At 35.5% G+C, this 19,711-nt stretch overlaps 2 long non-coding RNA genes across 6 annotated transcripts in view; one reads left to right on the forward strand and one right to left on the reverse strand.

Moving 5' to 3' along the window:
- Positions 1-19,711, reverse strand: part of LOC105374976 (uncharacterized) — a 289,589-nt gene that overhangs the window by 7,539 nt on the left and 262,339 nt on the right. For both annotated transcript variants that reach the window (XR_001744046.2, XR_007059501.1), the window contains one exon: positions 589-752. This is a non-coding gene — a long non-coding RNA (uncharacterized LOC105374976). The remainder of the gene's footprint in view (positions 1-588; positions 753-19,711) is intronic.
- The window catches only part of LOC102724749 (uncharacterized), a 66,451-nt gene that overhangs the window by 6,594 nt on the left and 40,146 nt on the right, over positions 1-19,711 (forward strand). The window contains exons 2-5 of one of the 4 annotated variants that reach the window (NR_187791.1): positions 666-736; positions 2,658-2,928; positions 5,118-5,251; positions 6,960-7,163. The exons of 1 other annotated variant lie outside the window; for it this stretch is intronic. This is a non-coding gene — a long non-coding RNA (uncharacterized LOC102724749). The remainder of the gene's footprint in view (positions 1-665; positions 737-2,657; positions 2,929-5,117; positions 5,252-6,959; positions 7,164-19,711) is intronic. 2 more of the 4 variants (NR_187789.1, NR_187792.1) reach the window with 2 other exon arrangements.

Here is a 19,711-nt window from a genome sequence, read left to right on the forward strand (position 1 = left end):
TTTATTTATTGTCATAATTACCTTTACCCAATCTATTTTTTATTGTTTGTTTCAAATTACACCAATAAAAATGTGACAATAACCATGCTCATCCTTAGACTAACACCAATGTTTAGAAGCAGTTTCACCATATAGTTCCATTTTTAAAAAATTCTAAATATTTGCTATATTCTTTAATTGAGTCTTCCCAAAGCAATCTTTGAACTAATTGTTGGTTTCTCAGATTTCTATTTTGTTATCTTTAAGACACTCTTTAAATCTCATCAAAAATCTTCATGGAAATTAATTACATTGTACCCAAACGTTATAAAATCTTACCATTTAAAGATACTTTAGAGTTCATTTGAACTATTCTTCAAAGAATTAGCAATGAAGTTCTTTTGGATTGATTGATATTCATGTACCCAAGAAAGATAGGTAGAATATTAATTCATTTTATTATTTCCAAAGAGAAGGTGTGAAAATAAACTAGAACACAGTTGAGTTGGCAGAACTGAGTTTGTGTTTACAAAACTGAAAAGGCTGGACCACAATGTGGTTTACTGGTGATATATTAATTTAGATAACAATTAAATCTCGGAGACTTACCATATTGAAAGTTTATTTTTTGGTTTACACAAATCTGATATACTGGATAGGGGCTTTTCTCCTTTCATTTACTCAAGGATCCAGGTTCCAGTCCAATATGCACCATTCAGCCTGGTTGCAGCATGTTAAGCAGCCCTGGAGGCAGCAGGTGAGCTCTTCATTGCCTTGGACCAAAATTATATGTCACTGCTGGTGTCCTTTATTTGGCTAAAACTAGTCATAAAGACCTGCTAGACCCTACCTTGGCCAGTCTCTACCTAGTTATCCCCCCTTGTCACCATGTATTAATTAAATGCACTCTCCTTTCCATATGCGTAATGGACTGACCTCTCTCCAAGTGACCCAATGTAAAGGCATCCAGTCTCTGCATCTAGTTCAACGGTCAGGGTCACTGGTTGTGCTTGTTAAGGAGTATAGAACCAGACATGGGAATTCATGGCAGTCTCTACCACAGGATGTTTTGATCAAGTATGCTACATTGAATGCCTTTCACAATCAAAACACAGTCCTAGGTGGTCAGTTATATTTTTACATATCACAATTCAATTAGATGTAGAGACTAAGAACAGAACAGAAAAGAAACAAAAAATAACCATAGCATTGCTTTTTAAATCAGTTTTCACAGAAAATATCAGTATTGTTAGTTCAAATGTTTGGAAAAACCAGATTTGATCAGTTAAGATTTAACATCCACGGAGTTAGGATCTTTGGCTTCCTTAACTGTTTTATTTCTCAAAATTTTCAGTAAAAGCTCCATGAGCATTTTTATTTACTAAGAAAAAACTGTGAGGTCATTTTACTAGCTATGAAATGATCATGATACCTCACTAGTCACGTGGCGCAGTTCAAAATAAGATAATGAAAGAACAGTTAAAATTCATACTTTTTAAATGGAGGTATTGAACTAATAAAATTTTAAAAAGTAGCTTAAAGATAATTTGCTGTATGTTTTTCCTTTTCTTCACTTTCGATCAGACCCTCATAATATCCATTCAAACCACAGGCTATAAACTGTGGCAAGAGATGGTCCCACAGCAGTGCATGTTTTAAGGTTTATCTTCCCTGAGCTCTTTGAGGCGGAATAAACATGGTTACAAATGGAATATTTCTGAGCTTATATTTGACTAAAACAGGCTCAAATCAATTAGCAAAAATCAGCTATACAATAGGAGGATTAGAGAAATGATTATTTCTAGAACCATTTAACACCTCTTTAGGAAAACGGCAGCTGTTAACCCAAACCCATTACTTAGAACTTTTCTGGCAATAACATGTACCTCAGTCTGAATTTTCAGACCAAATAGCTCAGTCTGAATTTTCAGTCTAATAGTTTCTCGTGTAAGGCATAAAATATATTTTTAAATGGGACTCCAGCATTGAGTTGAAAAACTGCTTGTTTCATTCAGGTAAGAGTAGTGGCTTTTTGTACAACTAAAAAAAAAAAATTCCTTTCTGTCTCTGCCTTTGTTTATCCATTTGTAAAAAGGAATTCTTTAAATTTTCATAGCATAATTGGGAAAAACGTATTTCGAGCCCGATTTCCAATAACATAAAATTCTGAAAACTTTGAAAATGAAAATGAATTCATTTAACAATTTTATGTTTTGTCTCATTCTGCAAAAATATGCCAAATAAAAATAAAGATGAGGGATCCTATGAAGCAACTTTCAGACATTCAGAACCAAGACAAAAAAAAAGAGAATTAAAGTAAAATATGATGTACCCAGGAGTTACATCAGTGAACCAAATACAGCCTCAAATTTCGATCTGTGCTTCACAGCAGCCAGCAAAAAGAACAAAACATATTTTGTTAGTTCATATAAATAAATAAATTAAAAATGCATGAATAAATAAATAAAGCAAACCAGTTTCTCGATTCTGAAATATTTTCTGGAAGTGAGAACTGAAAGGAATTTCCACCATGGACCCACAAGCAGGTAGATTGGATTAAGTCTTTAAAACCTCCTGGTCATAGATGTGATATGAAGTTTCTTTTGACTTTTTATTTTAATGTTTAATGATTATGACAATAATGGCTAATAATTTCCCATGACCCATTTATTCAACAGTTGTTGGTGGCATATATAATGAGTGCTGGGTGTTAAGGAAGCAATGGTGAAGGAGAGACACCCTCCCGACCCTCATGGTGCTTGCAGCCTAGTGGAGCTATGAAAAGATAGGCAAGTGAGTCCTATGATTGGAGAAGTAATGAGAAGTAATGAGAAGCGTCTTCTAAGCATAGGGGTAAAGACTGCAAAGACCCTGAAGGGAGAAAGTAATGGCCATTCTGAGAACTGAAAGTTTGCACAGTGCACAGAGGGCATGAAGAACGAAGGAAAGGTGAGATTACAGAGGTATGCTGGTAACTAGATCATAAAGGGCTTCATAAGCCATGTTAACAAATCTGGCCTTCAACATGAGGACAGTGAACCAAAGCAAAGTTTAATGAAAATGATTCTGAGGTTTGCCAAAACAAAACACTCAAAAAACAACCAACAAAGAAACTGAACTCCAGCAATGCCATTGGATGAACTCAACATAATGAAAGGCTTATAAAGTGTGAGATGAACAGGGAAATGTAATGCTTATTCTGTGTGACCTGCTACTAGTCCCTAATAGAGCAATTGGTTTCTACTCCAAGAGGGACCAGACTGCAAGAGACACAGCTCATTCCCTTGCAGTCTTGAGTCTCTTCCAACAGATAGATACATACTCTGTCAGCCTAGCGAGGTCACACATCTGGCATGGCTGCTTGTATCAGCAAGAGCAGTATAAAGATGCACCATGGGCCAAGGAGAATCTATCTCGGTGGCTTGTGATAATACTAAATGCCTCATGGCCTCTGCCTTCTAGTGAAGAGGGATAGTTTCTGCTATCAAAATTAAAACAAGGCTGGGCGCGGTGGCTCACACCTGTAATCCCAGCACTCTGGGAGGCCAAGGCGGGCAGATCACCTGTGGTCAAGAGATCTAGACCATCCCGGCCAACATGGTGAAACTCCATCTCTACTAAAAATACAAAAATTAGCCAGGCATGGTGGCATGTGCCTGTAGTCCCAGCTACTCGGGAGGCTGAGGCAGGAGAATCGCTTGAATCCAGGAGGCAGAGGTTGCAGTGAGCCAAGATCGCACCACTACACTCCAGCCTGGCAACAAAGTGAGACTCCGTCTAAAAAAAAAAAAAAAAAAAATTAAAAGCTTGACAGATTGTCAGAAAATTTTTTGTTATAGTTATGTCTTCAGTGAACTGAGAAGAGTGAGCTTTGCTTTCCTTAGAAGACAGGGGCTAAAAAGATTCTCTTCCCTGTGTGTTACAAGAGAGGAAAAATGCATGTCTTCTCAATGCAAACCTCACCCTTTCCAACTATGCGCCCAGGTCTCCTCCACACAGCAACCCCTTCCCTGACCAGACACATCACTTTTTAGAGCTGGAATTTAATTTCCTCACCCAGTGAAAAATTAAAATGCTTAAGTAATAACATTCAGCAACATTGTCTGCTCTCTGGTATTCACAAAAACAGGGCAATTATGCTTTGCCTCGGGTGGCTGATGAGGCCACTTTGAATTTAAGGCATTATTTAATAATATCCATGCTTGCATCTAAGTGCATTGTTATAATTATTGGCCATAAAGCTGGGGGGGGGCGTGTATGTATGGGGGAAATAGTTTTAACTATTTAATTTGATGATGTAACAACACTCTTGCCATTACCATTCCTGCAAATTCATATCTAGCAACAACATGCAACACCTTTATAACTCAGTATTTCTTTATAACTCAGTATTTCTCTGCATGCATTCTAGTTTAAACTTCGAAAAACCATATAATTACCACTTCAAGTGAACAGGGCTTTAGGGTGCAGCCACCATCAAGGATATATTAAAATGAAAACACATTGAGGGACCAGAGAGAAGATTGTGACATGTGGGGCAATGAAACTGCATGAGGAATTTCAGTGCCTGAATTATTCACAGATTATCTATTTTGGCAGCCTTCTTTTCTTTTATAAGAAAACCCACTCATAGATAAGTCTTAATTTTGCTTTTGGCTGATATAGTTTGGGGAAGGAGTCATCTTTAATGAGGTGGTCATATGTGTTGAGGAGACTGTGGAATAGTGTTAGGGCAGTTGACTTTGAACCCAATAAGCAATGGTTCAAACCCCAATATAATCTCCTTCATAACCTCATAAGTCACAAGGCTTCAGAGTACTTCTTCAGGAAACTGAATTTCCAAGTACAATCTGTTCCACAGATATGTGAGGTTACGTTATGTGGCTCATGAAAAGAATTGGAAATAACAAAGCTGTGCTTGTTAATCTTAGAAAGAGCGAATTTAGAGGATATAATTGTTTTAGATTGTCTGCCAGGTTTGTCAAAAAGAAATTGGGATTTGATTTATTGATCTTCATTGCTCCAGTGGGTAAAATATCTCCAAGAGATAAAATATACAGAAAGCAAATTTCCACTGAATATAAGATGTATTTTTACATTTGAGTCTGTGATAACCATTTGTCATAATTATTTTCTAGAGATTTTTTTTTTTTTTTTTTTGCCCAAGATGGCAAGTTGCTTAAAACCTAAAGCTCCTTTCAATTCTTTACAATCCAAGATTATATGGAATGGACTGGGAACAAAGAGAGGGACTGGCATTTAAAGTCTTTTAGTAAGTATAAATTTATTTCATTGAAATGGGTCTCTGTAGGATAGGAACCCAACTTTCCCCATCTGTATCTCCATCTCCTTCTCCCATGACACACCCCACTAATGGTTTCCAGTGGCAGAAGTCCAAGATACAGTAATCCTGTTTGTTTGATGACTAAACATCCTTTTATGCCTGGAGGATCAACTCTAACAGTCAAACAAACTGAATTAGTGCCTAATGCCGAAACCAGAGCACTCTCTGGACTTTAAAGAGTGGCCTGAATCACCAATATTTCTATTCTAATTAGTGACTCCCTAGAGGAAAAATCACTTTGCTTCACTTCAGTTGATTATGACAAACTTTTGGGAATATAATTGGCCAAAAGAGCACTGAGTTTAAAATGCATGTTGAGGTTCTTGGGTAGCATGAATCTATACCAAGTATACATAGAGACCATGAACTGGCATATGTTTCTCACTTTCTCAAAGTAAATGTTTTGATTTGACTTGATTTGCATTTAGGGTAAGTAAAATTGAAACTGAGATGAATGTGTAAGCTGTTTAGAAAGACGTGCCTAAGTCTGATCTGAATTTTACCAAACGTTAATTAACCCTTTAGGGAGAGGAATTTTGCATTATTTATTTGTCCTACTCATATATAGCCTGGCTAGAGCTTATGGTTGCCAACATACTATTATTTCATGAAATCTCCCTCTTACTACGTGAAAATCTTTCACATGTTCAGATTGTTTGCCCTCCTGACCTGGAACAGAAGACCTGCTCTCTGGAAAGGTGATGTCCCAAGGAAGACCTGACACTGGGGATTCTGTTATAGTTAGTTATTCTAGGAAGGAATAGCAAACTCCCTGGATCTTCTGTGGCATGGAAAGCAAATTGTGAACTAGAAGTAAAGAACAGAGAGTGAGATGGAGCCCAAGATAGAGTATTTCTCCTTCACAATGTAGTTTCAGGTAGACTTCTATGATATAATCCTAACATAGAGATTTGTGATTTAGGAAGTAACATTATTCAATGACATCCTCTTCCCCACTCTTCTAAGGTGCTTTCCAAGTTCCAGGAACTGCATTTTTAGATAAATAAGACCATAGGGAAAGGAATTATGTCATCATGACTATGCACATAGAAAGACCAATAGTAAAGAGAAAACTTTTATCTTGTATGTTAGACTTTCATTATTTTTCTTTTTCATATGAAATCACCAATATTTAGAAGAGTATTGGACATCATTTCTTGCCACAGACTGAGTACTTCACTGTTACTAACTATGGTTGGACTCCAGTTGAACCTGTTCTGAATTAATCTGAAGTTCTTATTGAAATTGAAAAGAATATTTAAGGGTCAACTCCTGGTTCTGTTGACATGAATAAAGTATGCATAGAAAGTCCTGTCATCATCACAGGTAGCCCTGATAGTCACATTCTTCCAACACCATGTCATCTGTTATGTTTGGAATAGATCATCTTTCTACAACCTCCCAACTACTCACCCTGCTATGAACCATCTTTGTCACTCCCTGCTCTGAAAAAAATTTTTTTTTTTTCAGAAAGAGGGAGGTAAAAAATTAAACTAGAGTAACTTAAGCATCACATTTACTCAGAATATGTTGCTTTTTAATTTCCAGTTCAACATTTGTCTTTAATTAGGAAGAAAGAATACATATGTTACATTGTCATAGCTAGTTAATCTTATCATTTTTTTCTTTGTCCCAGTACACTTTGGAACAAATGTTATTCTCCATTCATCCTGACACTAAATTGGTTAGCCAAACCCAAAGATCTACTAATAATCCTGCTTTGGCATGGGAGAATGAGTGAGATAAGGAGGCAATAGAGGAGATGAATCGACAAATGGAAGGAATAGAATTCTGGTTGATGTCCTTGTCTCTAAGCTGTAGCAGCAAGTATTTATCCTAAGTACGTAAGATTGTTAAATAATGATGAATGCCATTTGATTATCACCTCTTGCAGTAGAAGTCTAACTCCAGATTGCATTAATCTCTTTCTCTATTTATTTGTCTCCTCTATTATCTTATATATAGATAAGGTATATGTGCACGTACCTGGTTGAAAAGGAATATCCATCTATTCAGATTCAGGGATTAATGGAATAAAAAAACCACTATTTTTTCTTTATTTAAAAAAGCCACATTTTTTATAGCATAGCCTTCTTGGTTCTCTTTCTTAAGAAAAGGTATTAAAATTTGAACCTGTTCAGAGAATGTTAATTTTAACCATCAGTTAGAATTCAAGTATCAGTTAGAATCACAAATAAGTGACTCCTCAGATTCATATGCAACTTGTAATGCAGTTTCAAGTTTGGTTGTGGCAAAATCTTAAATTATTGTGTATCTTAAATTATTGTGTATCTGGACAGTGGGAATACCCAAAAATCTTTTAAGTGATTGACCAGAATGGGAGAGGGTTTTTATACTATAACCTGAGATTTCAAAATAATAACATCTTAATCCTACTTATTCAAATAATTACCAAGTTAATATAAACAAAGAGTTTTAGAGATTGCAGAAAACCTATAGCAAAGACATTATGACCACATCATAATTCACAATCTATCTGTAATTTTAAGAGCTACAAGGATAAAATTATAATTCTTCCTTATCTAATATGACTAATATATATTAGTACAAAGATATCCAGGGCTGTTGACCAGATTGTTAAAAACTTTGATATGTGTCTATATTTCTGTTTTTGTATTAGTACCATGCTCTTTTGGTTACCGTATTCTTGTAATATAGTTTGAAGTCAGTGTGATGCCTCCAGCTTTCTTCTTTTTGCTTCAGATTGCTTTGGCTATACAAGCTCTTTTTTTGGCTCCATATTAATATTAGAATAGTTTTCTCTCGTTCTGTGAAAAATGATCTGCGTAGTTTTTTTTTTTTTTTTTTTTTTTTTTTTTTTTTGAGACAGAGTCTGGCTCTGTCACGTAGGCTGGAGTGCAGTGGCGCAATCTCTGCTCACTGCAAGCTCCGCCTCCCGGGTTCACGCCATTCTCCTGCCTCAGCCTCCTGAGTAGCTGGGACTATAGGCGCCCGCCACCATGCCTGGCTAATTTTTTTTATTTTTTAGTAGAGACGGGGTTTCACCATGTTAGCCAGGATGGTCTTGATCTCCTGACATCGTGATCCGTCCATCTCGGCCACCCAAAGTGTTGGGATTACAGGCGTGAGCCACCGCGCCCGGCCGATGTGCGTAGTTTTATAGTGATAGCATTGAATCTGTAGATTGCTTTGGACAGTATGACCATTTTAACGATATTGATTCTTCCAATCCATGAATGTGGAATGTTTTTCCTTTTTGTGTGTGTGTGTGTGTGCCATCTATGATTTATTTCATAGTAGTGTTTTGTAGTTCTCCTTATCGAAATCTTTTTCATCCTTGGTTAGATGTATTCCTCGGGATTTTATTTATTTTGTGGTTAATTGTAAATGGGATTGTGTTCTTGATTTGTCACTCAGCTTGGACGTTATTGGTGTATAGAAATGCTACTGATTTTTGTACATTGATTTTGTATCCTGAAACTTTACTGAAACTGTGTATCAGTTCCAGGAACCTTTTGGCACAGTCTTCAGGGTTTTCTATGTATAAAATCATGTTGTCAGCAAAGAGAGATCGTTTGACTACTTCTGGATGCCTTTTATTTCTTTCTCTTCCCTGATTACTCTGGCTAGGCCTTCCACTATTAATATTTTAAAGAAAGATCCTGATGTCTATCTTCTAATAAATTAAGTGTGTTATAATAAATTAATGTGTGTTATATGACACACAATTTTTAATAGAATGCTTTTTGTATATATTATATAATCCATTTTCTTTCAACCTTTTATGTGTTTTTGTTTGTAAATACCTTGAACAATGCCTTGCACATAATATAGTCAGTAATTACATAGCACTTTATATTGTAATTCTTTTTTATGAGAAAGCTAAAAAAATACAACTATAGTCTTCAGTCTTTTTTACTTCTATTAAAAGGACCAAAAGAATTTAGGTCAGCATTCTCCTTTTATAAAACATAAGAGATAAAAGCCATTTCTTGCTTTTGTTGTTGTTGTTGTTTTGTTTTGTTGGTCCTTATCCAAGTGTTATTTTTGTTAAACCAAAAACAATTTAAGAGGGAGGAAAAAAATTCCTGTCATTAACAAAGTGTATATCTGTCTATCCAGTTCAAACTAAATTAAATAAACAAACATCTATTGAGTATCTAATACGTGAGCAACAATATTCTGGGTGCTGATAGGGTTCAAGGAAATATGTGCTCTCAGAAAATATTGTATTTTTTGTTTTACAAAAACAAGCCACATAAAATGAGATGTTACACAATTCTTTACATTTTACATATGATCCAGCATTTGCATTTGTGGTTTCTTACATGTGTCATGACTATAAATTACTTAGGAATATAAATATACATGTGTGTATATATATCTGTTATACATATGCATACATAATTTTAATGTAATATTAAAAAATAATGACACTTAAGGCTTTAAATATAATATTTGTGAGAATCAGTGCTGAAAAACTGTTATCAGTTTGCTAGGTGCTCATATACATAAATTGAGATAAAGCAAATGTCTTGATCTGACATGTTTATTTTATTCAAGCAGGTCTAATAACTGAGCTGGGAAAGCTTAGAACCATTTGGTCCACTTTATTTAATCTCTGTTCTTTATAGTTTGACACTGTATGTCATTTGAGTGAAAGTTCTATTGAAATGATCTTTCTTTTAATGTATCTTGGCATCTTAGGAGCATGTTCCACAAGAAAATTTTTGATTGCTGTACATTTTTAATATCAACAACTACATAAAAAACCTCTCAGTGATTGAAATGAATTAAGCCATAATTGTCCTTGGCTTTCATGTTTTGGTAAAGCCACAGAATTAAACACCTTGGAGATTTTCTTAGACCTTAAGTTTATTTCTCACCATTTAACATTTCTGAAGTTAAAAGAACCACAAAAAAAAGTCAAGGGCAACTGCAGAAGTAAACTCAGAACAATAAAGAGTGAGTTTAAAGAGCACCTGGAATTGATGATAAAAGTGAAACTATCAGCCATCTATATTTTTCCTCATATAATGTAAAATATCAGTTGATAAGCTTGTCACAAACTGGAGTGACAATTAATTGAATTATTGAGCATTAGTGACTACATTTTCTTAAATGTATGGATATTTAATATGATATAAATATGCAATATACTTTCCACTTGAATGGGTTGGAATTTAGCAATTTTTTAATTGTAGTTTTACACTTTCCATTAATTTGACAGCATTGAATGTAAATCAGCTTGAGTTTATTGCTCTAAGAGAGTATAAGTTAAAAACTGTATAATTACAAATTCATCTAAGAGGACATTAAAAGTGACTTTTAAACTAAGGAAGTACATGTCCAGACATTGTGGCTCTGGGTCACTCTCACCACTATTCCCTGCCACCAGGATTAACCTGTAATTCCTAATACCCATAGGAGTAAGGTTCTGACATGATGTCATTTGCTATAGCTCTCTTTTTTTTTTTTTTTTTTTAGTATTGCATGAGCATATCAACTGGTATAAATGAATTCTGATTTTAAAAATCCATTTAATCTCCAACTCTGTTGTTTTACAGTAAATAGTGATTTAAAACAAATGTTCTACATTTTAAAAAGTTTGTTTTATTATAACTAAGTTCTGGGATACAGGTGCAGAACGTGCAGGTTTGTTACGTAGGTATACACTTGCCATGGTGGTTTGCTGCACCCATCAACCCATCATCTACATTAGGAATATTCTACTTTTTAATCCAATATTTCTGCATTGGTTAATAATTTTAAGAAGAATAAAAATTATGTATACACTACAAAGATTAAATGATAAGTTACATAATGATAAGAGAATTCTTGAAACTGATGGGATATTGATTCAATTGGTCAAAAATAAATCACTCCTTTCATAAACGAAGGAAACGTCAAAGCCCTGTATTCATAATGTCCATGAAAATGGAGGGGAATGCAAGGGAGTAAGAGAGTACAGGGCTGGAGAAAGAATTGAACCACTCAATGCTATTTAACAGGAAAAGTTTAAAGTTTTCATTGATCCACCATTGTTTTGACACATATGGCTAAACGTATGCATTCTTATTTTTTATATTTTACCTTTTATTAGGGCAGATACAAATTTCATCTCAGTGTTTAGTTTCCTGACAAAATGTCTCTATGATCTCTGCCAGGCCACACATAGTGCTCTTTAGGAATAATTGTTCCTGTTATGAACTGAATTGTGTCCCTCTCCCACCAAGTTCTTATGTTGAAGTCCTGATCTCTAGGACTTCAGAATGTGGCTTTATTTGGAGACAGGGTTTATACAAAAGTATAATTATTAAGCTAATTATATTGTATTGGGGGGCCCCAATACAATATAATTGGTGTCCTTTTAAGAAGGAAGATTAGGACACAGATGCACACAGGGAAGGCCATGTAAAGATAAAGGGAAGAGAAGATGGCCATCTTCAAGCCGAGGAGAGAAGCCTCAGAAGAAACCAGTCCTGTTGACAACTTAATCTCAGACTTCCAGCCCCAGAATTGTGAGAAAACAAATTTCTGTCTCTGTATATTTTATATATATATAATATAATTATAATATATAATTATATTATATATTATACTATAATATATAGTTCTTTATATATAATATATAAATATATACATAAATATATATAATATATAAAGAATATTATATATTATAGGATATATATAATATATAAAGAATATTATATATTATAGGATATATATATAATATATAAAGAATATATATTATAGGATATATAATATATAATATATATGATACTATCTATAATATATGATATATAATATATAATATATATGATACTATCTATAATATATAATATATATGACACTATCTATAATATATAATATATGATACTATCTATAATATATAATATATATGATACTATCTATAATATATAATATATATGATACTATCTATAATATATAATATATATGATACTATCTATAATATACTATCTATAATATATATGATACTATCTATAATATATATGATACTATCTATAATATATATGATACTATCTATAATATATAATACATGATACTATCTATAATATATATGATACTATCTATAATGTATAATATATGATACTATCTATAATATATAATATATGATACTATCCATAATATATAATATATGATACTATCTATAATATATAAAGAACTATATTATAATTATATATTATATATTATAGAGAGAACTATATTAGTTCTCTCTATATATAATTGCAAATCTAAACCAAGACAGGTAGAATTGTGCTAGGAAGAGAAGAGTCTTAATAAAATTATCATTATGACCTAAGTTCTTCCGAGAGTTAAGACAGGAATAACATTTTTTTCACTCGGTTTATACTATTCCTGCTCCATGATACGGTGCTGAAATGGGAAACCTATCCAAGGGGATCTAATTATTTCTCCTAAATTATTAATATATTTGGACATTAAGCTTTTGATATTTTCCATAGCATTAGAAATGCCCTGATATTAGTTCATTACTTTTACCACTATAGTTTTAAAGCCTGGAATAATGCATAATATAATGATTTATTTTCTGGCTTTACTATAATGCAAAAGAAATAGGAATACCTGCCATGAAATCAAAGGAAGGCATTGATTTATGCTCTGGGAAGAATGAATTGAAAATTGAATAAAGACAAGAGAAAATAAAATTTCCTAGACCCAGAACAAATGGAAATTGATTTAATTTACTGAAAAGAAATCGCCTCTTTGAGTAGTCAAGCAAAGCATTAGGATCTTGCTGACTACCAGGAAAGGACAAATTAGAATTAGAAGAATCTATGAGTATGTGGACTCCAAATTACTATAGTATCTTTCTGGTAAATTTCTCCATTTTACACAAAACAGTATGTAACATTTCAGGGAATCATGGCTTTTTTCCACCAGTAATGTATAATGATATTAAAATATTTTCTTTGCCTTGCCTTTTAAAAAAAGATTAAATTATATTCTGTCTTGCAGGCACACACCACATGCATTTTTGACAGTGGTGTTTGAAACATATGGGCATTTCAGATGTCTACAGTTTTCCTAATAACTTTTGACTCCTCTAAAAAAACTTCATTTCCAGAGCCATGGCTAAGAATCCTTGGACAGTGAGAGATGGGGACGGTCACATGTATCAGGACATAGACTTCTTGCTAGTATAGGACTGACCCCAAGCAACACTTTTAGATTTATAACGAAAGGGTCAGGGAAACTGCCTGCCTGCCAACTGTAAGAAAGTGACAACAAGGGAAGTTTAAAAAATATGTATTTAAATATTCTCTGTACTGAAAAACAATGTGGCAGAATTGAAATAAAAGTATAGTACCTAAAAATCCTAAAGATTTGAACTTCTTTTTGATCTCACCTTAGAGGGAAATTTTGACAAAAAACTGCACAGGACTTAATGTAGCACAAAATACATTGAACTATTGGCATCATGTGAATGACATAATTTAAGACAGAATAGGACAGACATTTGGAAATACGTGTGTCTTTCTATCTGAAGACCATCTCCATGGTTGGGATGAGTGATTTCCCCTGAGTGGAGTGGCTAGTCTCATATCATTTATCTTAGAGCAGGAAAGGAGGGAGATGGGCTTGAAGTGGTGAATGAGAGGTTCACCTTGTCCCCAAGTTAGCCTACAAGACAGGTCCCAGCAATTGTAATTTCTCTTGGTATTTTAGTTTTGTTATTTTCCAGTGACCTCTAAAGTTGCAATAGAGAGAGCTTAGTGTAAGCTGTGCTCTGGGGAATGGAGGGACTAGTTATGTCGATGCTTGGGGCAAGCAGTTCCCAGCAAAGAAATTGGCAGACATATGGAGAAGCCTATTGTAAGAGTTAATCCACAAAGATCCAAGATGAAATGCTCTGGCAGGTTAGGAGACTAAGTTAGTGACAACTGACGACCAACATAAACTTTGGGAGTTCACGATATTTTTTCTCAGGAGGATTCAGTAGAGGAAAGGCTGTTTAGAAGCTTGTATCATTAATCTTTGGGCATTATGGGAATAAGTTTCTAGAGATCTTGGAGGGGGCCAAAGATTATTAGCTTAAACTATATCTCTGGACTTGAAGTTCAACCTGTTCCCCAAGAACTTAGAAAATGGATAACAACTTTTCTTCTATTAAAATGTAAAAGCAAAGCCCAATCAGTTAGAGTTGAATGTTCTGGACCAGGCAGACATCATAGTAACAGTAGTGTGAAGAAGGGGAGGGTTAATCAAAACAAGGATGGTCAGGTAGTAGAAGCATGGAAAAAAAACAAAATTAGTTGTTGATCGTTTCCTTGGAGGAGTGTTTCAGATACGGCAAACCTAAATTAAAATTAATCTTATCATGGTGTCATTGATGAGATTATCCCTATTCTATTATTTTTTTATTATACTTTTAAGTTTTAGGGTACATGTGCACAATGTGCAGGTTTGTTACATATGTATACATGTGCCATGTTGGTGTGCTGCACCCATTAACTCGTCATTTAACATTAGGTATATCTCCTAATGCTATCCCTCCCCCCTCCCCCAACCCCACAAAAGGCCCCGGTGTGTGATGTTCCCCTTCCTGTGTCCAAGTGTTCTCATTGTTCAATTCCCACCTATGAGTGAGAACATGTGGTGTTTGGTTTTTTGTCCTTGCGATAGTTTGCTGAGAATGATGGTTTCCAGCTTCATCCATGTCCCTACAAAGGACATGAACTCATCATTTTTTATGGCTGCATAGTATTCCATGGTGTATATGTGCCACATTTTCTTAATCCAGTCTATCATTGTTGGACATTTGGGTTGGTTCCAAGTCTTTGCTATTGTGAGTAGTGCCACAATAAACATACATGTGCATATGTCTTTATAGCAGCATGATTTATATTCCTTTGGGTATATACCCAGTAATGGGATGGCTGGGTCAAATGGTATTTCTAGTTCTAGATGCCTGAGGAATCACCACACTGACTTCCACAGTGGTTGAACTAGTTTACAGTCCCACCAACAGTGTAAAAGTGTTCCTATTTCTCCACATCCTCTCCAGCACCTGTTGTTGCCTGACTTTTTAATGATCGCCATTCTAACTGGTGTGAGATGGTATCTCATTGTGGTTTTGATTTGCATTTCTCTGATGGCCAGTGATGATGAGCATTTTTTCATGTGTTTTTTGGCTGCATAAATGTCTTCTTTTGGGAAGTGTCTGTTCATATCCTTCACCCACTTGTTGATGGAGTTTTTTTTTTTGTAAATTTTTTTGAGTTCATTGTAGATTCTGGATAATAGCCCTTTGTCAGATGAGTAGATTGCAAAAATTTTCTCCCATTCTGTATGTTACCTGTTCAATCTGATGGTAGATTCTTTTGCTGTGCAGAAGCTCTTTAGTTTACTTAGATCTCATTTGTTATTTTTGGCTTTTGTTGCCATTGCTTTTGGTGTTTTAGACAAGAAGTCCTTGCCCATGCCTATGCCCTGAATGGTAATGCCTAGGTTTTCTTCTAGGGTTTTTATGGTTTTAGGTCTAACGTTTAAGTCTTTAATCCATCTTGAATTAATTTTTGTGTAAGGTGTAAGGAAGGGATCCAGTTTCAGCTTTCTACATATGGCTAGCCAGTTTTCCCAGCACCATTTATTAAATAGGGAATCCTTTCCCCATTGCTTGTTTTTGTCAGGTTTGTCAAAGATCAGATAGTTGTAGATATGTGGCGTTATTTCTGAGGGCTCTGTTCTGTTCCATTGATCTATATCTCTGTTTTGGTACCAGTACCATGTTGTTTTGGTTACTGTAGCCTTGTAGTATAGTTTGAAGTCAGGTAGCGTGATGCCTCCAGCTTTGTTCTTTTGGCTTAGGATTGACTTGGCGATGCGGGCTCTTTTTTGGTGCTGTATGAACTTTAAAGTAGTTTTTTCCAATTCTGTGAAGAAAGTCATTGGTAGCTTGATGGGGATGGCATTGAATCTATCAATTACCTTGGGCAGTATGGCCATTTTCATGATATTGATTCTTCCTACCCATGAGCATGGAATGTTCTTACATTTGTTTGCATCCTCTTTTATTTCCTTGAGCAGTGGTTTGTAGTTCTCCTTGAAGAGGTCCTTCACATCCCTTGTAAGTTGGATTCCTAGGTATTTTAGTTCTCTTTGAAGCAATTGAGAATGGGAGTTCACTCATGATTTGACTCTCTGTTTGTCTGTTATTGGTGTATAAGAATGCTTGTGATTTTTGCACATTGATTTTGTATCCTGAGACTTTGCTGAAGTTGCTTATCAGCTTAAGGAGATTTTGGGCTGAGACGATGGGGTTTTCCAGATGTACAATCATGTCATCTGCAAACAGGGACAATGTGACTTCCTCTTTTCCTAATTGAATACCCTTTATTTCCTTCTCCTGCCTAATTGCCCTGGCCAGAACTTCCAACACTATGTTGAATAGGAGTGGTGAGAGAGGGCATCCCTGTCTTGTGCCAGTTTTCAAAGGGAATGCTTCCAGTTTTTGTCCATTCAGTATGATATTGGCTGTGGGTTTGTCATATATAGCTCTTATTATTTTGAGATATGTTCCATCAATACCTAATTTATTGAGAGTTTTTAGCATGAAGGTTGTTGAATTTTGTCAAAGGCCTTTTCTGCATCTATTGAGATATTCATGTGGTTTTTGTCATTGGTTCTGTTTATATGCTGGATTATCTTTATTGAATTTCATATGTTGAACCAGCCTTGCATCCCAGGGATGAAGCCCTCTTGATCATGGTGGATAAGCTTTTTGATGTGCTGCTGGATTCGGTTTGCCAGTATTTTATTGAGGATTTTTGCATCGATGTTCATCAGGGATATTGGTCTAAAATTCTCTTTTTTGTTGTGTCTCTGCCAGGCTTTGGTATCAGGATGATGCTGGCCTCATAAAATGAGTTAGGGAGGATTCCCCCTTTTTCTATTCATTGGAATAGTTTCAGAAGGAATGGTACCAGTTCCTCCTTGTACCTCTGGTAGAATTTGGCTGAATCCATCTGGTCCTGGACTTTTTTTGGTTCGTAAGCTATTAATTATTGCCTCAATTTGAGAGCCTGTTATTGGACTATTCAGAGATTCAACTTCTTCCTGGTTTAGTCTTGGGAGGGTGTATGTGTTGAGGAATTTATCCATTTCTTCTAGATTTTCTAGTTTAGTTGCGTAGAGGGGTTTATAGTATTCTCTGATGGTAGTTTGTATTTCTGTGGGATCGGTGGTGATATCCCCTTTATCATTTTTTATTGCATTGATTCTTTTCTCTTTTCTTCTTTATTAGTCTTGCTAGCTGTCTATCAATTTTGTTGATCCTTTCAAAAAACCAGCTCCTGGATTCATTGATTTTTTGAAGGGTTTTTTGTGTCTCTATTTCCTTCAGTTCTTCTCTGATCTTAGTTATTTCTTGCCTTCTGCTAGCTTTTGAATGTGTTTGCTCTTGCTTTTCTAGTTCTTTTAATTGTGATGTTAGGGTGTCAATTTTAGACCTTTCCTGCTTTCTCTTGTGGGCATTTAGTGCTATAAATTTCCCTCTACACACTGCTTTGAATGTCCCAGAGATTCTGGTATGTTGTGTCTTTGTTCTCATTGGTTTCAAAGAACATCTTTATTTCTGCCTTCATTTCATTATGTATTCAGTACTCATTCAGGAGCAGATTGTTCAGTTTCCACGTAGTTGAGCGGTTTTGAGTGAGTTTCTTAATCCTGAGTTCTAGTTTGATTGCACTGTGGTCTGAGAGACAGTTTGTTATAATTTCTGTTCTTTTACATTTGCTGAGGAGTGCTTTACTTCCAATTATGTGGTCAATTTTGGAATAGGTGTGGTGTGGGGCTGAAAAGAATATATACTCTGTTGATTTGGGGTGGACAGTTCTGTAGATGTCTATTAGGTCGGCTTGGTGCAGAGCTGAGTTCAATTCCTGGATATCCTTGTTAACTTTCTGTCTCGTTGACCTGTCTAATGTTGACAGTGGGGTGTTAAAGTCTCCCATTATTATTGTGTGGGAGTCTAAGTCTCTTTGTAGGTCTCTAAGGGCTTGCTTTATGAATCTGGGTGCTCCTGTATTGGGTGCATATATATTGAGGATAGTTAGCTCTTCTTGTTGAATTGATCCCTTTACCATTATGTAATGGCCTTCTTTGTCTCTTTTGATCTTTGTTGATTTAAAGTCTGTTTTATCAGAGACTAGGATTGCAACCCCTGCCTTTTTTTGTTTTCCATTTGCTTGGTAGATCTTCCTCCATCCCTTTATTTTGAGCCTATGTGTGTCTCTGCAGGTGAGATGGGTATCCTGAATACAGCACACTGATGCCTCTTGACTCTTTATCCAATTTGCCAGTCTGTGTCTTTTAATTGGAGCATTTAGCCCATTTACATTTAAGGTTAATATTGTTATGTGTGAATTTGATCCTGTCATTATGATGTTAGCTGGTTATTTTGCTCATTAGTTGATGCAGTTTCTTCCTAGCATCGATGGTCTTTACAATTTGGTATGTTTTTGCAGTGGCTGATACCGGTTGTTCCTTTCCATGTTTACTGCTTCCTTCAGGAGCTCTTTTAGGGCGGGCCCGGTGGTGACAAAATCTCTCAGCATTTGCTTGTCTGTAAAGGATTTTATTTCTCCTTCACTTATGAAGCTTAGTTTGGCTGGATATGAAATTCTGGGTTGAAAATTCTTTCCTTTAAGAATGTTGAATATTGGCCCCCACTCTCTCCTAGCTTGTAGAGTTTCTGCCGAGAGATCAGCTGTTAGTCTGATGGGCTTCCCCTTGTGGGTAACCTGACCTTTCTCTCTGGCTGCCCTTAACATTTTTTCCTTCATTTCAACTTTGGTGAATCTAACAATTATGTGTCTTGGAGTTGCTCTTCTCGAGGAGTATCTTTGTGGCGTTCTCTGTATTTCCTGAATCTGAACGTTGGCCTGCCTTGCTAGATTGGGGAAGTTCTCCGGGATAATATCCTGCAGAGTGTTTTCCAACTTTATTCCACTCTCCCCATCACTTTCAGGTACACCAATCAGATGTAGATTTGGTCCTTTCACATAGTCCCATATTTCTTGGAGGCTTTGTTCATTTCTTTTTATTCTGTTTTCTCTAAACTTCTCTTCTTGCTTCATTTCATTCATTTGATCTTCCATCACTGATACCCGTTCTTCCAGTTGATCGAATCGGTTACTGAGGCTTGTGCATTCGTCACGTAGTTCTTGTGCTGTGGTTTTCAGCTCCATCAGGTCCTTTAAGGACTTCTCTGCATTGGTTATTCTAGTTAGCCAGTCGTCTAATCTTTTTTCAAGGTTTTTAACTTCTTTGCCATGGGTTCGAACTTCCTCCTTTAGCTCGGAGTAGTTTGATCGTCTGAAGCCTTCTTCTCTCAACTCGTCAAAGTCATTCTCTGTCCAG

Source organism: Homo sapiens, chromosome 6 (assembly GCF_000001405.40).
Source record: "Homo sapiens chromosome 6, GRCh38.p14 Primary Assembly".
Lineage (NCBI taxonomy): Eukaryota > Metazoa > Chordata > Mammalia > Primates > Hominidae > Homo > Homo sapiens.